Source organism: Homo sapiens, chromosome 5 (assembly GCF_000001405.40).
Source record: "Homo sapiens chromosome 5, GRCh38.p14 Primary Assembly".
NCBI lineage: Eukaryota > Metazoa > Chordata > Mammalia > Primates > Hominidae > Homo > Homo sapiens.
Window position 1 is genome coordinate 107,746,261 of NC_000005.10, and position 22,175 is coordinate 107,768,435.

The following is a 22,175-nucleotide window of genomic DNA, read 5'->3' on the forward strand; positions in this document are numbered from 1 at the left end:
AAGACATTTGCGATTGGTTGATTCAATAAGCTGATTAATCAACATTATTAGTTTATCCATTGTTTTCAAACCAGTTCTGTTTCTACCTTTGTCCAAAATTTGAAAGAGACCCCATAGCTTTTCTATTGTGGGAAATAAGAGTAGTCCTTTTAGACATTTAAAAACTAATAACTCTGTAACTCCAGTTCGGTCCATCCCAATTTGCTCAACATTCCAAATATATGTCCAGTTTAGGGCTTATCCCCTCCTGCCAAGATCTGACCCAGTCTCAGAAGCCTGGAGTTGGGGGACAGAGTATGACTGTATATTTATTGTTTCATAGCTGTTTCTCCTTTTCTCACTGGCTGCTGTTTCCCATGACTTAGTGCTGGGCTGAGGAAGAAGAGACTATGGGAACGTGGCTGACACAGTTAAAAGTGCTGATGCCTTCGAAGTATAATGGATATACAAAGCTGATTCTCTCCTTTACATGACACCATTATATGTTCTTTGAGGTGCTTTGCTGATGACATCTAAACCAGTTCTTCTCAAAGTATAGTCCGTAAATTACACAATTATTATCACCTAGGAGCTTGTTAGAAATACACATTTTTGAGTCTCACCTCAGTCCTAAGGAATCAGAATTTCTAGGAGGTGTGGCTGAGGAAATTTGTTTTAACAGGTTCCCAGGGTAATTCTAATGCAGGCTAAAGTTTGAGAAGCATTGATCTAGATAGTGGTTTATCCTCTGGCTGGTCACTTACAAGGCCTGGGTTTGGGGGCACATTGCACCTCTAGGCCTGTGTTTTCCTGTGAGCTGAGCCCACAGGTGAACTGCAGGACACGACAGCTTTTTCCCAGTTTCCTCCCAACATTATCCTTTCCTCTCTGCTGTACTTCTCAGAGGTCCCTGAACCCAGTTGTCCATCTTACACTTCTGGGATGAGGCAGGTGTTAAGCGTCTCTGCTCCAAACTCCAGGAGATAAGAACAAAGCTCTCAGGGAGTTCTAAGCGTCCCTCTCTTGATTTAAGGAGTGGAGAATGTTCCTCTTTTTTCTCTCCCATTGAAGTGAGTGATAGGCCCATGCAAACAAAACCAGATTTACTGTCCATTAGCTGTTCCACAAAAGTGATCTAGCATTTCCATTTGGGATGTAGAAGGACTTGATACCTCTTGTATTATTCATGGCGTTTGGGGTCTGTTGCAAAAATCTGAGAAGCACAGAAGTCACATTTAACATCTTCTTGGACATGGCAACCAAAACTCAATCCAATAAGATGGCTCTTCTTTGTCGTACACACTCCTTTTAGGTATGCAGTCAAAGTTCACATTGACCACATCATATCACTGATATAAGAGATATACTGTCAATTTCCTTAAATTATTTTCCCTTATGCTCCTGTTGTCATGTCTGCCCAAATTTATTCTTAGCTGGGTCTTTGTGTTACTTTTTAAATACATTTTTGCTTCTCTTTCATATTTACCATGGTTATGGCCCCTTCTTGCCTTCTTGTGTGCATACGTTGTGGAGCTCATAGAACTTTCCAGCACTGACTTTTCTAATATCCAGATTATCTGTGTTACACACATTCAGGTAAAATGATCACAGTTCCCATTATTGGCAATATTTTCCCCTTCTTGTTGATCAGAATTAAGAAGAGATTACTAATCCCCTGATCCATTCCTCTACATCTGAAAAACGAAATTATCATCAAGGCAAATGAAGAATTTATCAGAAGTTTTGCTGTCATTACATCAAACATCCTGCAGATGCTTATTACACATCTGTGCTATCTACCCTTCCTGGTTGGACATTCACTGCTGCTCAGCAATTTATTTCTTAACCCTTTATTCCTCTCTCCATGAAGATTATGCCAAATCTTCTTCATTCCTATAAGTTCAGGCACCATTTGTTCCCCTCACTCCCCATAAATGATTCCACATCCAGTGGACTAAAAGAATTGTCAGACAATATGAGATCCCTGAACTTTCCTCCTCTCTACCTCAAAAATCTCTCTGTAATTTGACTTTGTTACTCTTTCCTCTAAGACCATGTCTCCATCTTTGTCATTTTTTCCCACCCCACTTGGGGATCCCATTTATTTTTCTCTTTAATCTGTCTCTCTGCATTAGCTATATAAGTCTCATATCCCAAAAACCAACCAACAAGAAAACATGCTGTGACCATCATGTCCTTTTCCCATGTCCCACTTCTGTTGATCCACCTCTGCTCACTTTCCTCCATTCTTCTAATAAAGTTTCTTCAAAGCCAGTCGATGATCTAATCACAGATTCCAAGATCTTTTCTTATTTTTTCATCCTTATGGAACCATGTCCTTTTTATGTTAAAATGTATACTCCTGACTCTCCCCTGGGCATGCAAAAAGTACTCAATGTATTTCAATCCCAGTGATTACAATTTCATCAATTTTAAAACTGACCTCCCTACTGCTAGTTTCTTTGTTTATTTTAAACTCTGTTGCTGGAATTACTTTCCTAAAAGAAATTCAACCTTTGCTGAAAAATCTTAAATAATCTAACTCCAATATTTATTTCCAGCCTTATTACCTACTGTCTAATTTTTTTTTTTGACACACCAACTAGTGAATGACACAACAAGGAACCATTTCCTCTTCTCCAAGGTGTTTTCATTTCTTCAAGCATTGGATTATGCTACTTTTTCATTTAGAATTTCCTTCCTTCCAAGTTGTTTATGTCACAATACTACTTATTCTTTTATATCCCTCACAAATGTTACCTTTCTTCAAAGCTTTACCACGTTCCTTTAAATGAGGGCAACTTCTTTCTTCTGAATTCCTATAGTCCATTGACATGGCCTTATGTTATACATTCAAATACACAAGTGTGAATAATTACTAAATTTAGAGAGTGTAATATTTTTTCCAAAATAACTACATCTTTCCAATACAAGATAAACAATATAAACTACTCCACTTTTTGTCTTGCATTAGATTAGACAAAATACCATCTGAGAATTGGGAAAACTATAATTTTCTTTAGGTTTTTGCCTGTAATTTGTAAAACAACAGAAAACATTCCTGTGGACCTGTTTAAAATTTTTCCCAGATGCCGTAATTTCAGTACTCTATGATGATGCCTTCATGACACCCACTGAATATTCAGATGTTGAAAAATCTGGAGGATGGGAATTAGAATGATTAGCACTTTTGGAAGTAGGCCCTTTGTGGAAGTAATTTATATATTAAGAGGGAGGAGGAAGAAGAAGAGGGAGGAGGAAGAGGAGCTGGAACTGGAATTATTTGATGTAGAAAAGAAAATGCAGGGGCAGAAAATATTAGCAATTAGTTTCTGAGTATCTTAAAAAAAACTATTATATGAGTGAGTGACAGTGAGAAGCTGTTTCATGTTCCTACTTAAGAGTAGGACAAATGCTTTTGGGCTACTGCAACAAAAAATCCAAAAAGGCATTAGGAGAAGTCTTCAGACTCTAAAGTTGGTAAAATTGTGGTGTATGATAACAGGTTGTCAATGCAGGGAAAAAGACATCTTTCTGCACTGGGGGTCAGGGTGGTATCCTGTATGGAAGAAAAGATGCTGTAGATGAGGCTTATTCAAGCTTTTTATCTATTCCAATGAGATCCTACATGTAGGGAAAGAAGTGATTCATTCTATCACACAGTATTGAGACAGCTTTTTCAGAAAATGTAAGTTAATTATCTGATCTGCACCTAAAGAAGAAAGGAAGGTTCTGAGAACATGGCATTGTGAGTGGATAGATGCACAGTCTGAAACCAGACAGTTTGGTTGCTTCTCCAGGATCATCACATCCTAGCTTTGTGACCCTGGAAAGATTTTAAACTGCTCTAAGAATCAGTTTCCTCCTCTGCAAACTGGTGATAATAGAGATGTGAGTAGTCACGGAGATGATACTCGATAAATGTCAACTTTTATTATTTTATTAGACATATAGCACCTTCTAGGCACTATGTTAGGCATTTTCCCAATCATTATTTCCTTCACAGAGCAGTCATCCAAGGCTTCTATAAAATAGGATGATATGATGACTTTTCACCAGAGTTATGTTCTTTAATTAAAAATGAAAGCCCTAGGTATCAAAGACCAGCCTGCTGAGTTCCCTGACCTTTCCCAACCATGAGACATTTCCCTGATATCTGCAGCACGTCTTTGACATCTGGGACAGAAGACCAATTTGCCTCCACCCCCACGTGGCTCCACCTGTCACCATTATTATGTGATCTTTATCAAATTAAACTGAGAATGTACTAATCTTTTTTCATTATGCTTCCAACCAAAGCCACCAAGCTCACAAATATGGTGTCTGTTTAATAAAATGAATTGATACAGGAAAGAAAATTCTGGTATTTAATTTCATATCTTCAAGACAATATTTATATCAACTAATATATTCATGTTCTATTTGAGCTATAATATATTTCTCATCACCTGATGAACTTGTGACAGAGGGTCTGTTTGTAGCCAGTGGTTAATACAGAGTGTATTTTCCTCTGGGTCATTGCCCCTTCCTTTCTTCTTCTACAATTTACCTTCAGAAAAAAAGCCATTTTCACAAAAGCCATTTTGAGAGTCAGTTAAATGTGCAGGATGCTAAAATTACATATGTACTTGTATCAGAGTTTACATGTGTGTGTGCACGCGCACGTGTGCACGCATTTGTGTATCCTTTTTAAAGAAAAGTTTGTATTCCCAGGAGCAAGGATAATGAGGCATATGCTCTATTCCTAGCAAAACAACAAGCTCAGTACCAAGTGTTAGATATAGCTTAATGTAAAATATATTAATAACTCTCTCTATGCTAATAGTGAGATTTAAAAATCCAAACCATAGGGTTGAATTTATATGGCTAAATCAGAAAAAGCCATCATAATTGGAATTTCAGCAACATGTTTGGATGATAGAAATCAGTGGGGCATGACAATCTTTACTTTGAGTTATACATAAAGGTATCTTAGGACTTGAATAAGACATGCATAGTGTATAAAGAAATCCTGAGACACTGTGAAAATAGTTTACCACTGTGAAGAGAAAAAGGGAAGGTTAAATTACTTTGGCTATAAAACCACATGTAATGCAAAAACCCACTGAACCAACTTTGTTTTCCAGATGTCTTCAGAACTGCATAATTGCAGAATTTTGAGAAGTATATGAAGATGGTTTCAGGATGTGCCTGATACTTTGCGTCAGAAAGAGCAACAATAATGATAAATTTTTAAATGATCCTAGAATGGACAAAGGAAGTACTATTGCATTAGATTCAGTAAAGCATTCTTTTATAGAAGATGTTTAAAACATCAACATTTGGCAGAAGAAGAAAAACTTGGGTTTGAGCCCCAGCACCACCACTTTCTCGCTATTGGACTGTGGGAAAGTCCTTCAATTCACTAAGCTTAATTTCTTCATCTGCAAAGTGAGGACAATAACAAGGCCAATCACATGGGGATGTGAGGATTTCAGTGACATAAAATAAAGCCCTTAGCATAGGATCAGGGGAATAGAATAAGTGCTCAATAAATGTCAGCTACGGTGTTGACAATGCTGAGGGTGGAGGTGATGCAGAGGAGGAGGAAGGGAATAAAGAAGAAAAACATCAGGTAGACTCTGCATCTATATTATTTGTAAAAAGCACTCAATAGAGGAAACAATTGTCTGATGATAAAATGAGAAAAATCTTCTCACTCCTTCCGAGGACAAAATATTCTATAGTGAAGCATTTAGGTGCGTTTTTTACTTGTCTTTGCAGAAAATTATTCATTGCAAAATTAAAAGGTTGTATACCTTTTGTCAGAGTAAAAAAATGATCCTTTTAGCCAAGAATTAAGAACACATTTCAAATCTGCCATTTAAAAATAAATTCTGCCCTTGGCTAAAACCCTATATGGCTAAGAGTTTATTAAAAAGAGCAGTTTCTTCACTGTCTCTATTTTGCAGAGACAATGGAGATAGAATGTGACACACCAAAAATTGAGGCTGGATGAGGAGGCTTTTTGTTTGAAATTGGTGAGCTGACTCTCACATTTATACAAAAGGGCAAAAGACCTTGAACATTCAAACAATCTTGTAAAAGAAAAAAAAGGTAGAAGACTTACACTACCTGATTTCAATATTCTATGATGTTATAGTAATCAAGACAGTGTGGCACTGGCATAAAGATGACAGAACAATGGAACAGAACTAAGAGCACCAGAATAGACCCACACTTATGTGATCATTTGACTTTTGACAAAGGTGCCAAAGCAATCCAATAGGAAAAGAAAATTCTTATTGCATACAATAAACTAAATAAATATTAATAAATTGAATATCCACATAAAAAAGTGACCTGTGACCCCTACTGATGTGGTTTGACTGTGTCCCCACTCAAATATCATCTTGAATTGTAGTTCCCATAATTCCCACATGTAATGGGAGGGACCTGGTGGGAGGTAATTGAATCATAAGGGTTGTTACCCCCATACTGCTGTCCTTGTGATAGTGAGTGAGTTCTCATGAGATCTGATGGTTTTATAAAGAACTTTCCCCCTTTTTGCTCAGCACTTCTCCTTCCTGACATCTCCTTCCTGCCATCATGTGAAAAAGGACATGTTTGTTTCCCCTTCCACCATTATTGTAAGTTTCTTGAGGCCTCCCCAGCCACGTGGAACTTGAGTCAATTAAACCTCTTTCCTTTATAAATTACCAATCTCAGGCAGTCCTTTATAGTAGTGTGAGAATTAACTAATACAGTAAATTGGTACCGAGGGTAGGGTAATGCTATAAAGATACCCAAAAAGGTAACAGGCAGAGGTTGGAACAGTTTGGAGGGATCAGAAGAAGACAGAAAAAGTGGTCAAGTTTGGAACTTCCTAGAGACTTGGAGGGCTCAGAGGACAGGAAGAGGTGGGAAAATTTGGAATTTCCTAGAGACTTCCTGAATGGCTTTGACCAAAATGCTGATAGTGATGGCTGATGTGGTCTCAGATAGAGATGAAGAACCTGTTGGGAACTGGAATAAGGTGACTCTTGCTATGTTTCAGCAAAGAGACTGGCAGCATTTTGCCCCTGCTCTAGAGTTCTGTGGAACTTTGAACTTGAGAGAGATGATTTAGGGTATCTGGTAGAAGAAATTGCTAAGCAGCAAAGCATTCAAGAGGAAGCAGAGCAAAAAAGTTTGGAAAATTTGCAGCCCGACAATGAAACAGAAAAGAAAAATTCATTTTCCGAGGAGAAATTCAAGCCTGCTGCAGAAATTTGCATAAGTAAATTGAGGAGTTGAATGTTAATCACCAAGATAATGGGGAAAATGTTTCCAGAGCATGTCAGAGAACTTCACAGCAGCCCCTCCCATCACAGGCCTGGAGGCCTAGGAGAAAAAAAGTGGTTTCCTGGGCTGGGCCCAGAGCCCTGCTACTGTGTGCAGCCTAGGGATTAGGTGCCCCGCATGCTAGCCACTCCAGCCATGGCTAAAATTGGCCAAGATACAGCTCAGGCTGTGGCTTCAGAGGGTGCAAGCCCCAAGTCTTGGCAGCTTCCATGTGGCGTTGAGTCTGTGGGTGCACAGAAGTCAAGAATTGAGGTTTGGGAACCTCCACCTAGATTCCAGAGGTTGTATGGAAATGCCTGGATGTCTAGGGAGAAGTTTGCTGCAGAGGCAGAGCCCTCATGGAGAACCTCTGCTAGGGCAGTGCAGAAGGGAAATGTGGGATTGGAGCTCCCACACAGAGTCCCCACAGGGGTACTGCCTGGTGGAACTGTGAGAAGACAGCCACTGTTCTCCAGACCTCAGAATGGTAAATCCACTGACAGCTTGCACCGTGCACCTGGAAAAGTCTCAGACACTCAACACCAGCCTGTGAAGGAAGCTGGGAGGGGGGTTGTACCATGCAAAACTAGGGGTAGAGCTGCCCAAGGCCATGGGAGCCCACCTCTTGCATCAGTGTGACCTGAATGTGAGAAATGCAGTCAAAGGAGATCATTTCAGAACTTTAAGGTTTGACTGCCCTGCTGGATGTCAGAGTTGCATGGGGCCTGTAGCCCCTTTCTTTTGGCCAATTTCTACCATTTGAAACAGGTCTATTTACCCAATGTCTGTGGCCCCATTGTCTCTAGGAAGTAACTAACTTGCTTTTGATTTTACAGACTCATAGAAGAAACTTGCCTTGTCTCAGATGAAACTTTTGATTTGGACTTTTGAGTTAAAGCTGGAATGAGTTAAGACTTTGGGGGATTGTTGGAAGGGCATGCTTGTGTTTTAAAATGTGAGGACATGATATTTGGGAGGAGCCAGGAGCAGAAAGGTATGGTTAGGCTTTGTTCCCCACCGAAATCTCATCTTGAATTGTAGTTCCCATAATCCCCACATGTCGTAGAAGGGACCTAGTGGGAGGTAATTGAATCATGGGGGCGGTACCACCATGCTGCTGTTCTCATGACAGTGAGTAAGCGAGTTTTCATGAGATCTGATGGTTTCATAAGGGGATTTTCACCTTTTGCTCAGCGCTTCTCCTTCCTCCCATCTCCTTCCTGTTATCATGTGAAGAAGGGTGCATTTGTTTCCCCTTCTGCCATGACTGTAAGTTTCCTGAGGCCTCCTCAGCCATGTGGAACTGTGAGTCAAACTAAACCTCTTTCCTTTATAAATTACCCCATCTTGGGCAGTCCTTTATAGCAGCGTGAGAGCAGACTAATACACCTACCATACATTATACACATAAATTAATTTGGTATGAATAATAGACCAAAACAAAAAAGCTAAAACTGTAGGCTTTCAGAAAAAAACACAAGAGAATATCTTTATGATTTGGGGATAAGTTAAGTTTCTTTAGGTACAACAAAGAAGCACTAACCATCAAAGAAAAACATTGATAAATTAGACTTCATAAAATGAATGCTTCTCTCATCAAAAGACAGTGCTGACAAGATAAATAAGCAAACTGCAGACTGGGAGAAACTATTTGCAGAGCATACACCTGAAAAAAGACTCGTATCCAGAATATAAAGAACTTCCACAACTCAGTAATATAAAGTCAAATCATCCATCAATAAAGGAGGCAAAAATTTAAACAGACACTTTACAAAAGTAGATGCATGTGTGGCCAATAACTACATGAAAAGATGCTTAACATCATTAGTCATTGGGGAAATAAAAATTAAAACCATAAAGAAATAGCAACATGTATCCATAGGAAGGCTAAAATGAAAAAGACTCGGCAGCACCCAAAATTGGCAAGAATATGGAGTGATTAGAAATCTCCAACACTATTGGTAGAGGTAAAAAAAATGGTACAACCTGGAGGATGTGCAAGCTATTTTATGACCCGAAAACGCTACTTCTAGGTATTTACCCAAAAGAAATTGCAATATGTGTTCACAAAACCTTGTACAATCATGTTCATAACAGCTTTATTCATAATACCTAAAAACCAGAAAGAGTCTATTAATAACATAAAAATAAACTGTGCTGTATTCATATAATGGAATATTACTCAGCAATACAAGGGAAAAAACTTGCCAATTACAGGAGCACTGATGAAACACAAAAACTAAATATTGAGTGAAAGAATCCTTACACAAAGATTCCAGATAGAGTGGTTCTAAAACAGGCCAAACTAATTTATGGTGAAAATGTCAGAATAGTGACTGGCTAAGGGGGACAGCAGTTGATTGGAAAGGGGTATGAGGAAACTTCTTTGGAGTGTTAGTGATGATCTGTATCTGGATAGGGGTTTGAGTTACACAAGTGTATATATTTGGCAAAGCTCAGCCAATGTTTACTTAAGATTTCTGCATTTCATTATAAGTAACTTTTACCTCATGTAAAAGCAACCCTGTAAACAAATATTGAACCCTGGTAAATAATATGCATGCTGAAATATTTGGGGAGAAGTGTACTGATGTTTAAAAGTGGTTTTGAAATATATCAAAAGATAAACTAGATTGATGGGTGCATGAAGGGATGGATAGGTGGATTGTTGCATGATAAAGCACATATAGGAAATTTTTAATTGCATTATCTAAATAAAGCGTCTGTAGGTGTTCACTGTAAAATTGTTTCAACTTTTCTGTGTGTTTGAGCATTTTATAACAAATTGCTGGAAAAAGAAGTTAAGGCTAAATGGGTAGCCAAAACCCTGATGAGAGTTTGGTCCTACCGTTGAGTATAGAATGGGGAGCTATGAAGGTTTTCAGAAGGGCATGCTATCATCAGATTTACACTCTAGAATGTCTCTTTGCCTGAAGTATACAGGGTGAATAGTAGGCATGGGTATAGGAACTAACTTCAGTCTTGAAAACCAGTAAGAAAAGATTTCAGTCGTCCGCGTGAGAGACTTAACAGGTTAAGATCTATAGAATCGCCATTGGTTGGTGATGGTTAGATATTGGGGAAGGGTGAGGAAGGAGTCCAGGATGGCTTCCAGGTTTCCAGCCATGTTCCCTGGGTAAATGGCAGTGACCACTTTTGAGAGGAAATAGAGGAGATGAAGCAAATGAGAGACTGGGAGAGGAAAGGGTGAGATAAGATGTTTCATTCTATATTAGACATGTTGAATATGAGGGTCATTGTAATTCCCTGAGGTGAAGATGTACAGATGGCATTAGCAATATGGGTCTAGAACTCGGAGAGGAGGTCTAGGTTGGTGGCATAGTCCATTTTGTGCTGCTATAACAGACTACCTAAGACTAGGTAATTTATAAAGAAGAAAATGTATTCTCTCACAGTTCTGGAGGCTGAAAAGTCCAAGATCAAGGTGCTGGCAGGATAGGGCCCAGTTTCTCTGCTTTCAGAATGGTGCCTTGAGTGCTATGTCCTCCAGAAGACAGAAATGCCATATCCTCACATATCAGAAGAGCAGAAGAGAGACAAATAACTCCTGCAAGCTCTTTTATAGAATTATTATAGGGAATTAGCAGAGTTCTCATGACCTAAACACCTCCCAAAAGGTCCTGCCTCCCAACACTGTTGCATTGGGGATTCAGTTTCAACACATGAATTTTGAAGGGGGCAAATACATTCAAACAATAGCAGTTAGATATATGGATTTTAGCAGTATCAGCTAAAAGATGGTAGTTGAAACCATGCTAATGGATGAGATCATCCAAGAAGAGAACACAAGTGAGACAGCCCTGAGGTTACCAACAAATTAGGGGTTGACTGAGGAAGAAAAGAAACCCAAAGAGGCCTTTGATGAACAACTTAGAGCAATGTCTATAGTTCTGAAAAAGACAAAGAATAAAATTTGTACAGAGGAGGGTGTAAATAACTTTGTCAGGGATATTGGTGTGAGGAGGAAGAGGTCAGGAAAGTTTTCACAAGGAAAATGATACTTGAACAGGACTATATAGGGCAAGTAGGAATTGTCCAGGCAAACAAGGGAGACAAAAGAAAGACAGAAAGAACAACATAAGAGGCTAGAAATTCTAGGAGTGTTCAGGAAACTTCAGGCTATGCCTTTTTGACACTAGGTTGGGGAATGTTGTGTAGCATTTTCACTCAATATGAAACCGTTGAAATATAGTCATGGGGTTGTGGAAGGGCAGCCTCTGTAATTCTCCCTGATGTAAACTACTAGTTCTGCACCAGAATCACCTGCAAGGCTTGTTAAACTACAGATTGCTGGGTCCTACCTCCAGAGTTTCTGGCATAATAGGTGGACAGATGAGAGACTGAACTGGGTAAATCTGGGTGGGGCCTGATAATTAGAATTTCTAATGAGATCCCAGATGATGCCAGTGCTGTGGGTCTGGGGCCCACACTTGGAGAACCACTGAGGATGCTGGGAGGAAGGGGTGCTGTACAATGCCCAGAATCAGCTTCTCAGGGAAGGCCTTTCTTACCGGAAGGTGCTAGTTATACTGTGGATAAGGCACAGTTCCCACCATATAGTTTACATCCTCTCACTTCCTTGGTAAACAGAACCTTCTTAATTAAACTTCAACTTACAGAAATGTTGGAGAATTTTTGAGGCTGAGGTCTCTTCAATAAAATAGGCTCATACTCATGTTGCATCTCAAGGACTCCTCTGTTCACACACCCTGGTGACATACAGGAAACAACTGCTGTGCAATTCTCTGCATCCTTGGCTGCCTCATGGGGACTGATAGCTGGATGAGATGTACCTAATATAGTAGTTGTTGAACGTTTTGTACATTTTAAAGTACATTTACATCAATTCAGCATTTTAATTTCCTTATAAGCCAGCACTACTATTACTGATCAATAAAATAAGCAATAGGAGAGGATGACATGTCATTTTCCACACAGGTCCTGGTCTGTGGTGACCCCAGTGACACCCTGACATCTCCTAGAAAATGAGTAACAGGTTTCTATCACTTTATAAGAAGGAGCTGTTTTTTATTCTCCTCTTTTTCCCCCAATCTTGGGATTGTGGGGGTCTTGTGGATGTTTTTCATACCACCATGGCATGGGAATAGTATAATTAACATGTCTGCAAGGTGAATGCCAACTGAGTGCCCTGAGTCTCTCTGAGATTGGTGCAGGGGAGTAGCTGGGCTTTCCCTGAGTGCACAAGAGGAACACAGAAGGGATGAGTGAGGATCAAACTAGTCCACAGCGAGGAGGACATAGTATGAACTGTGGGGCCTCACGACAAAGGCCATGAAAGGAGGTTATTTAGTTTGCGGAAGGCAGATCATAATGCAGAGAGGTGTTTACACCAGCTAAGAAAGTTTGAATAGGGAGACTTAAAAGCAATGGTAGAGACAGGTTTAGACAAACTAAAATTTACTTGCAAGATACCTCAGAGCTGTGGAAGGCATTCATTCAATTCAAACCCAGCCAACAGAGAGATGAAGTTATCTAGTTTCAGGATATACAAAGAGAAACATAATCACTAAAATATGAGACTCCTATAGTCCATCCCATTCGTCTGTCAAACTAGGTTCCATTTATGATAAAGACATTTACAAAGTGGGGTAGAGTAACTCAGAGGATGAAAAGGCCCAATCTCATGCCATCTGTGATCTGATAGGAAAAAAGTGATGATACTGAACCATGGGAAGAGGCAATTCAGGGAGAAGTGATATTCATCATTGAATATTTAAGAGTCTATCATGTGAAAAAGAATTACACTTCTGTGGATATACAGTAGGCACTGTGGGTGAATGTTAGAAGAAGTAGATTTCAGAGCAAGCAATATAAGAAGGAATTTTCCAGAAAGTAAAACAGCATGAGGAATAAGAGCATAGTGTTTAAAATAAGGCTGCTTGGGTTCGAATCCCAGTCCTGTTTGATGTTAGACAAATTATTTACCTTCTTGGTGCCTCAGTTTTCTAATCAGAAAAATGGCATTAACAGTAGTATCTTCTAATTGTATCATAAGATTAAATGAACTAGACATTTTGAAATGGTTAGAACATCGTCTGGCATGTGCTAAGCATGCAATAAATCCCAGCAGCTGTAGTTGTTGTTATTATTGTTATTGATAGAGCTGGCGATGGAGGGACAGCCTTGATTGATGGTCTGTACCCTCTGAGGAGCTGTCCCAGCAGATGCCTGGATACACCAGGCGGAAGTTCTGGTGAGAGGAAGAAGGTCTAGCTCGCTGATGGCACCAGAGTGATGGTTTTCAGCTGATAGGCTGCATGCCACCCATGGGCTGGAGCAGTAGTACACGTAGACACAGGATGTCAGAACAATTATATATTTATTCTCTGCCATCTGTATTTCTAATGGCAACAGTATCATGACTACTTTTATGTTCTAGAGATATTTTTGTTTTAGCAAAAACATCAAAACTCACTCCCAAAAGTACTTCCGCCGTTTTAATATCTTTAGACCTGTCCATAGATGATACATATTTTATGTAGACTAATAAAAGTCAGAGTCAGCCTTGAGAAAAAGTAAGCATTTTAAATCATGGTGAGGTTCAGGGATGCTCAATCTTCTTTGATCCAATACTTACAGAGTACTTCACATATGTTAGACACTGTGCTAGACACTGGGGATGTTTAGATTAATATTAATAAGCCATAGCCCCTGCCTTCAATAAGTTTACAATTTAGTCACATTGGTTGGACATAAAATACAAAAGGTTAAGCACTACTAAGTTAGATGAATCTTAGCAAAGCCGTTCAACAGTGAGTGAGAGTCTACAATTTTATCATTCTCGACAAGTGAGCAGCAGCAGCAACCCAGTGGACAAATTTCATACAGAGGAGAGACAAACAAACAAACACGAAAAGCGCCCCAGCAGCCTAGAATCAGCCTTGAGGTTGTATAAGCCTGTGAGTTAAAGGCACTGAAGGTCACTACACTTTTGAAAAGTAAAGTACAAGGGCAAGAAAGAGCAATCCCTGTGTGATGAAGCAGAGAAATTACTTCTTCAGAGAGAAAACAGAAATTCTTTAAAATAAAATATCCTGTAGCAAAGGAAAATCTACCTGGACATAATTATAGCCACTGAACTACCAAATGTGTATATTAAATTCAGATGGGATGGGGTAGATAAACAGAGGGTACACAAAATAAATTGTTGAAAACCTTTATGAAAACTACATATGGTAGTTCAGAAGCTGGATGAAAAACTCTGTTGCCAAAGATAGATTTCACAAAGAATTTGACACCAAGCCGAGAATTTAAGAGATGCAGTTTCAACAAAAGAAGTTTAAAGTAAAACAAAAATTTCTCCTGCAATCATTTTTAGTACAACGTTGATGGAGAATAAAGTCTTCCAGGAAGTCGTTACATAGCACTGAAGACATGTAAGTGTTTCAAATCTCCAAAGCCAGATGGTATGCATTGTAAGATCCCAGAAGGACTCACATGTGAATGGCCATCGGACTGGTCAGGACATGAAATACACTCTCACTGCCACATTCTTAAGATCCGGCTCCACTGGGAATTTTTCCTCACATAAAGGTTGGAGAATTGGGTCCCATCATCTATTAGTTCAGACAAATTATTTTGGGAAATTAGAAAGGTGTTCTGTCCTCAGGAGATACAAGAAATTAAAAACCTCTGTGCCTCTTAAATTCTAAAAACACTTGCTTCAAAGACCAATTGAATCAATATGCAGTTATAATCTTGATATATTCTCAATTGAGAAATAAAATCAATATTCAATTTAAATTGTTTTGGGGGAAGGACAATAAAATGGGGAGAAAATAACTAACATTACTTTCTGAAATTAATTTATAGTTTTCTGGGTTTTTTTCTAAATTTCCTATCATGCGTATGTATTATGTCTATAGTCAGGAAAGTTGGTTGAAATAAATAACTGCAAGATACCAATATTAAAATGTGTCCTGAAATATTTACCTAAAAGAGTATAATTAATTGTGGTGACTTTACTCAAAAAGATCTAGGACAACTCTGCATAGTAAGAGTTAAGACAACCACTCTTGGCTGGGACTCCAAACAGACACCGTAAGATGGAACGTCCAGGCTGGGCACAGTGGCTCATGCCTGTAATCCCAGCACTTTGGGAGGCCGAGGCAGGCGGACCACAAGGTCAGGAGTTCGAGACTAGCTTGGCCAATATGGTGAAACCCCGTCTCTACTAAAAATACAAAAATTAGCTGGGCATGGTGGCAGGCACCTGTAGTCCCAGCTACTCAGGAGACCGAGGAAGGAGAATCACTTGAACCCAGGAGGCAGAGGTGGCAGTGAGCCAAGATCATGCTGCTGCACTCCAGCCTGGGTGATAGAGTAAGACTCTGTCTCAAAAAAAAAAAAAAAAAAAAAAAATACATGGCATGAAATTGAACAGTCTTGCATTATGTTATTCTGAAATAGAGAAAAATTATTAGAGCCTTTATTGAGCTATTCAAACCCTCAGTGAAATCTGAGTAACTAGACATTTTTACCTAATTGTCCTAAGGAGTAAAAAGGGACACTGTATGGAATTAATTAGGAAAATTAGCAAAAGATATGAATTAATATTTTTATCCTGTATAGAGCTAATGTATGGAATAGAGGGTCAAATATTATAGTAGAAAAATAACAGAAGTATACATTTTATGATTATTAATTATATTTTTCCCATAAGCATAAAAAATTATTCTATAAATCTCTCTTATAGGTAATCTGAAGCTATCAAAAGCAATAGCATATTAATTATCTACAATAGAGAATTTCCCTTACTCAATAATGTCACCTTGGAATGCATACCCATTGGTTATTGCATTATATGGAGCCCATGGCCAATTTATTTTGGAATTATCAGCTACTGGCAACTAATTAAACAAGACACCTGGTGAGGGAGACCAAAGATTTGGCCATTCATGGGAGATCTTTGTCTTGTAATATTTTTCTTTAAGAGACACTTCTAACCCTCAGTCGGGAAGACCAGTATACTTCCCAGGGAACTGAAAGCTGTGTGTAAAATAACCTCTACTCAGCACGAGATAACATCTGTCTCCAGGTCAAAGAGAGGATATACTGTGTTGCAGGACACTAGTTCCTTTTTGTTCCCATTGGATTAAGATAAGGTCAGACACTTGGCTTCAAGCAACTGCTGCACAAGTCACATACCCCAAAGTTTGTACATGGCCTAGTGTCAATCAGCAGTCTGGAGGGCAAAAACTCTTTCCACGTAACAATGATGCTTCATTTTTAACTCATAGCTGACGTCCTCCTTAAAGGCTATTATCACATCAAAAACTCTCAATATTTAACCATAGGGGATGGAGTAAACATAATCAGCATCTTTACCAAGGGCAAGGACTACTAGGACTACCGTTTTATTGTGCTCATAACCTTAGTATGTTGATTTTCTATTAATTTGCTGATCATGTAGGGACTTTAGGTTCAGTGTATATATTTAAAATTTGTAGAAATTGATTCTATAAAGACACAATGTCCTGTGACTGCTTTAATAGAATTAAAAGGCCTAAGCAGCCCTCCCCATACAATCTTTCTTTGTGTATCTGACTTCTGAAAAACATACTTTCTCTTTGTAGTGTTCAAGCAGTATCCTTGAGCTGGAAGCAAGAGTGAAGGTTAAATAAGAGAGGAAATCTTAAATAAATCAGATACATTTCATTTTGCACCAAGAATTTTTCTGTCATACTTACCTCTATCAAAAATCTGCCTATCTTTATAGTTTACTTTTTACTTGGAGTAAAAATTAGAGTTTGCAAATTGTAAATAGAGGGGGCCAAGATAATTTAGCACATTGTTTTATCACTGTCAACCCAGTGGTTTTCAAAACCGAATTCCACATATTTCGAGAAAGTCATTATTGCCTGGCAGTGTTTATAGAGCAGAGTGGAGCAAGCCTGCCTCCACCAGAGGTCAGAGAAAGAAACAGAATGACCCAGGGAAGGACTCTCACAAACAGAGAGTGACCTGTTTGTGATTAAACCCCAAAAAAGATAATTGAGTTAGGATAGTGGCCAGAGTGGAGGAAATAAGGTGCACACTTAGAGTTCAGTCATATTTCCTGAACCTTTTAATCCCCCCACCTACCCAGAGGACGCCACAATTAATAGCTGCTCTTTTACATCAAGGCATAAATGCTCTTTCTTCAATGCAGTCATTAAAGATGGAAGAAGGTGAGGATCCTGTTTAGTGATGCCAGGATGTACTTCTGTTTATTTCTTTGTACTTGGGGACAAAAAAAGGCAAGGGGAGTTTACTCTGGATTTCAACATATGTCAAAATCGAGGCAAAAATTTTCAGCAGCTGAAGTCAATCAGTTTCTGGAAAGTGCTAAGCAACCATACCAAGGGCTCCCAACTAACATTACCTCTGAATGTGCATGACCAGGCATATTTCAATATGCTCTGCCAGGTGGTGTTAGGAATGCGAGCAATATGCAGCTCACTTTACTTGCTGACTGGCTTAAAAAGAGAAAATTAAATACATTTCTCATAAGGATATTTTGCGGAATTTTTCCACATCATTAAATAAAATGTAGCCCTGGTTTAAAGGCATTTCCTGAGAGAAAACATTTCTTAATCTAAACTAACTGAACTATGTGAAACCGTCTGCCTGTATACACCATAATATTTTTTCCTGATTACATGGAATGGGTCTCCTATCATCCTGCAAGCTTACCCATATCACTGAATTGTTTCACAGCCATCCGAAAAAATTGACTGCAAACTTTTTAAAGCGGTTCTTGGGAAATGGGTGGTTATTCAATTTTCTCCTCACAGTTACAAAAGACTGGATGGTATCGAAGGTGACATTTCTGAAATAATTAAGAAAAATAATGACATGCTTTCTTCAGCTAGGTACATACTTCCTTCACAACTTCAACATAACAAGCTATAACACTGCTTCCTTATTGCTAGAGAAAGGAAGATAAACTCAAATATGACAGACAGAAAGTAGCAAATGCTATAAAGAAGTACAGAATCAAATTTAAAGCTTTCTTGTTTGCCGTTGCAATGCATATTTTCACCTTCTTCCCAAGGAAGGGATGGCACATCCCCAGCGACAGCTTAAATCCATTCAGAGTTAGGCTTTCCAATGCCCATTTAACTATTTTAGAATTCCAGTGAGGTGAATTACCATTCCTGACTTCATGAGTTCATGGTTCCTGCCTAGGGACTGAGGTGCTGTACAAGGCTTATGTTTCTTTTTGGTTTTCCATTGGAATAGCCACATGAGGTGTTCTGATTTTTCAACACACTCTCTTGGCCTCTTTGTCTCAGTCAGAAATTTTCTATTAAAAAGAAAGGGGAAAAAAAATGCTCCTTACAAGAAGATACCAAATATCTTCTGTTCAATCCCAGGAGCCCTCTAGCCAATTTGAAAGTCAACATCAGACAGAGAGGTAATGCTTTTTTGTTTTGTTTCAATCTGAACTCTCACAGTTGTTCAAATTGAATCAAGAAGCGAGAGTTTCAAACTAAGTAGTGAACTAAAATAAAACTGGGAGACATCCGTTTTACAAGGTTGTATGGGAGAACTGCTGAGTACACCCTGAGAGAAAAATAAAGGAGGGGTAACCTTTCTACAAGAGGTTATGGCTTCACAACGATCCACAAAGCAATGTGTAGGAAGAGAATGTACACACCTCCTACACAGCATAATCCACGTTGTTGTAATATGGCTTGGTGAAATATTTTAGCGCTGGGGTTTTTGAAAGAACTCTGTGAGTGAGATGCCCTCTGAAATAAAAACAAAGTCAGGTTCCAAGAATCTTAGTGATTCTTGTTCCCATCTGGCAACACTGACACATGTGCATGAGTGCGCACGTGCACACACATACACAGCAGATGAGCCATAGAAACACAGGTGCTGTATCTAACAAGAAACATAGGACAATTTTCTCTTTGGGATGCTGGATCAAATTCCAGTTCTCCTAACTAGGTTAGGACTTTGTCCCTGCTCTGGGCATTGCCTTGTGGCAGAGAATAACCTCCTGTTCCATTCCTATTCCCTGAAAAAATAAAACTTTCAAGAAGAAAGAATGTCCTATTGTTGGAGCAGAATTATTCCCCCAGCTTCTCAAAGAGGAGGTATTTTTTTGCATCTGGGAAGAGGTTGTGTCCAGAGGGGCTTCTTAGTTTTACAGCTGGGTCCACTCAAACCAGTCCGACAAGCCAGCATTACATAGAGGAGCCCAGCCAAACACAGGCACTTCAATCACGCTCAATTCACTTGGGTTCTGGTAAGTGAAATGAAACCCCAAAGCTTGGCTTTTTATTTTTCTTAGGGCAAAGTCCATTTAGAATTGATATAATCACTTGCTATGGTTACATATGCCACATTTATTTTTAAATAGCTCTACATCCCAAGGGCTCCTGATTTCCATCCACACGACAGGTAGGAAGACGGCAGAAAAATAATTTTCAACACAGTTTACATTTTACTAGGCTCAAAAAAAGCACATCTGGAGATGCATACCTTCGTTGGGAAGGAGCTGGGAAGCTTGCTAAGTATGCCCAGCATTTTGTATCTTGCAAAAGGGGGCCCAGCTGAGGGCATAACTGGGGGATGAAATCCATGCCAATCTTCTGGCCAAGCGATGCATCCTGTCGTGGGGTTTGCAAGTGCCTAGAGAAAGAGGTCTTTTTCCCTATTCTGTGTGAATATGTCATCCACTTGCAACCCTTGTGCGTGTGGGGCTGCATCCACAAGTCTCCTGATGTAACGGTGACTCTGATTAAGAAGTCTTCCATCTGCTCTTGAATCCCAGGTGGAGGTGGATCTGTTGAAGAATGCTTATCTGTTGAGACACAGCTCAGGTGCCAGACTTTCCTAAAGCCTAGCTAAGTTGCCGAGAAATGTTAAGATACGAGCTCTCGAGTCTGTTTGTTCTTCTTCCTAGCTAAATAGTATTTTTTGCTTCTCCAAAGGCAGTTTACTTTTTTTTTTTTTTTTTTTGCCTAATGTTACCTAACTTTGGTGCTTTCCTTTTCTCCCTTATCAGTCCCTTGCAGCCAGGGACTGGGTCCCACTCATCTTTGAATGCTAAACCTCATCCAGCTGAGTCTTGCTAGTTAATGTTTTATCTAATTCAGAGATTGCAAACTGTGGCCTACAGACTGATCTGGCTGGTCGCGTATCATTGTCCCAAAGACAGTTTAACAAATTGTGAATTGGGTTTTTTGTTTTGCATACATACTCATGTTTACAAATGAAGAGATTCCACGTGAAAAATCTGCATTTCTACTTTCTTTGGAAAAATTGGAAGTGCTGGCAATACTAGGCTTGCTTTCTCTCATGATAGCAATCAATCAGAGGAGGGTATCTGCTGCCTCTTTTTACCTGGTGTGTTCTTCGGGTCACAGAATCAACATCGTGCCCTATTCCTTCTTGTGATCATCTACCTTGCTCCTCTAGGTATTTGGCTTAATTGAATAGGAGTCCATTAGCGTATATGATCCAATAATTTCCCTAACATTCAATTACTAGATCCCTTGCTGTAGCACAGAGTTTGTCAACATTTTTTCTGTCTTATCATCCATGGTAGATGGCTTTCACATATGCAACCACTCCCAAGGGTTCTGTCAGGGTTATTCTAGCTGTAACCAGACAGTGAGATGGTTGCTATAGCCAACAAAACTCTCTCTTAGAAAAAGGAAAGCAAATACTTTGCAGGCTTCAGAGAAACTATTACTGGTAACAAATTTCTTGTGACATCTCACAACTGATCATGACACATATGCGGAGTGAGTGCAGTTGAGAACGGTTCTTGTAGCTGAAAAAGGAAAAGCATAAATAAGTTTAGAGAATTGTGTTTCTAAAGCATGACAGGAAAGAAGCATCAATAGGACCTCCAAGTGAATAATTTTAGGTCAGGGTAAATACTAGGTTTACTAACTTCAATTCGATTTTCTACGCACATACAGGTATACCTCAGAGATATCGTGAGTTCAGTTCCAGACCACCAAAATAAAATGAATATCGCAATAAAGTGAGTCACACAAATTTTTTGGTTTCTCAGTGCATGTGAAAGTTACATTTACACTGTACTGTAGTCTATTAAGTGTGCAATAGCATTATGTCTTTTAAAAATGTACATACCTTAATTTTAAAAATACCGCTAAAATTGCTAGCAATTATCTGAGCCTTTGGCAATATGTAATCTTTTTGTTACTGGAGGATCTTGCCTCAATATTGATGGCTGCTGATAGATCAGGGAGGTGGTTCCTGAAGGTTGGGGGTGGCTGTGGCAATTTCTTAAAATAAGACAGCGATGAAGTTTACCACATTGACTCTTCTGTTCATGAAAGATTTCTCTGCAGCATGTGATGCCAATTGATAGCATTTTACCCACAGTAAAACTTCTTTCAAAATTGGAGTCAGTTCTGTCAAACACTACCACTGCTTTATCAACTGTTTGTGTAATATTCTAAGTCCTTAGCTGTCCTTTCAACAATGTTTACAGCATCTTCACCAGGAGTAGATTCCATCTCAAGAAACCACTTTCTTTACTCATCTGTAAGAAGCAACTCCTCATGTGTTGACATTTTATAATGAAATTGCAGCAATTCAGTCCCATCTTCAGGCTCCACTTCTAATTGTAGTTCTCTTGCTATTTCCACCATATCTGCAGTTACTTCCTCCACCAAAGTATTGAACCCCTCGAAGTTATTCATGAGGGTTGGAATCAACTTCTAAATATTAATGTTAATATTTAGACTTTTCCCCTTGAATCACAAATATGCTTAATGGCATCTAGAACAGTTAATCCTTTCCAGAGGTTTTCAATTTACTTTGCCCGGATCAAAGAAATCACCATCTATGGCAGCTATAGCCTTACCAAATGTATTTTTTAA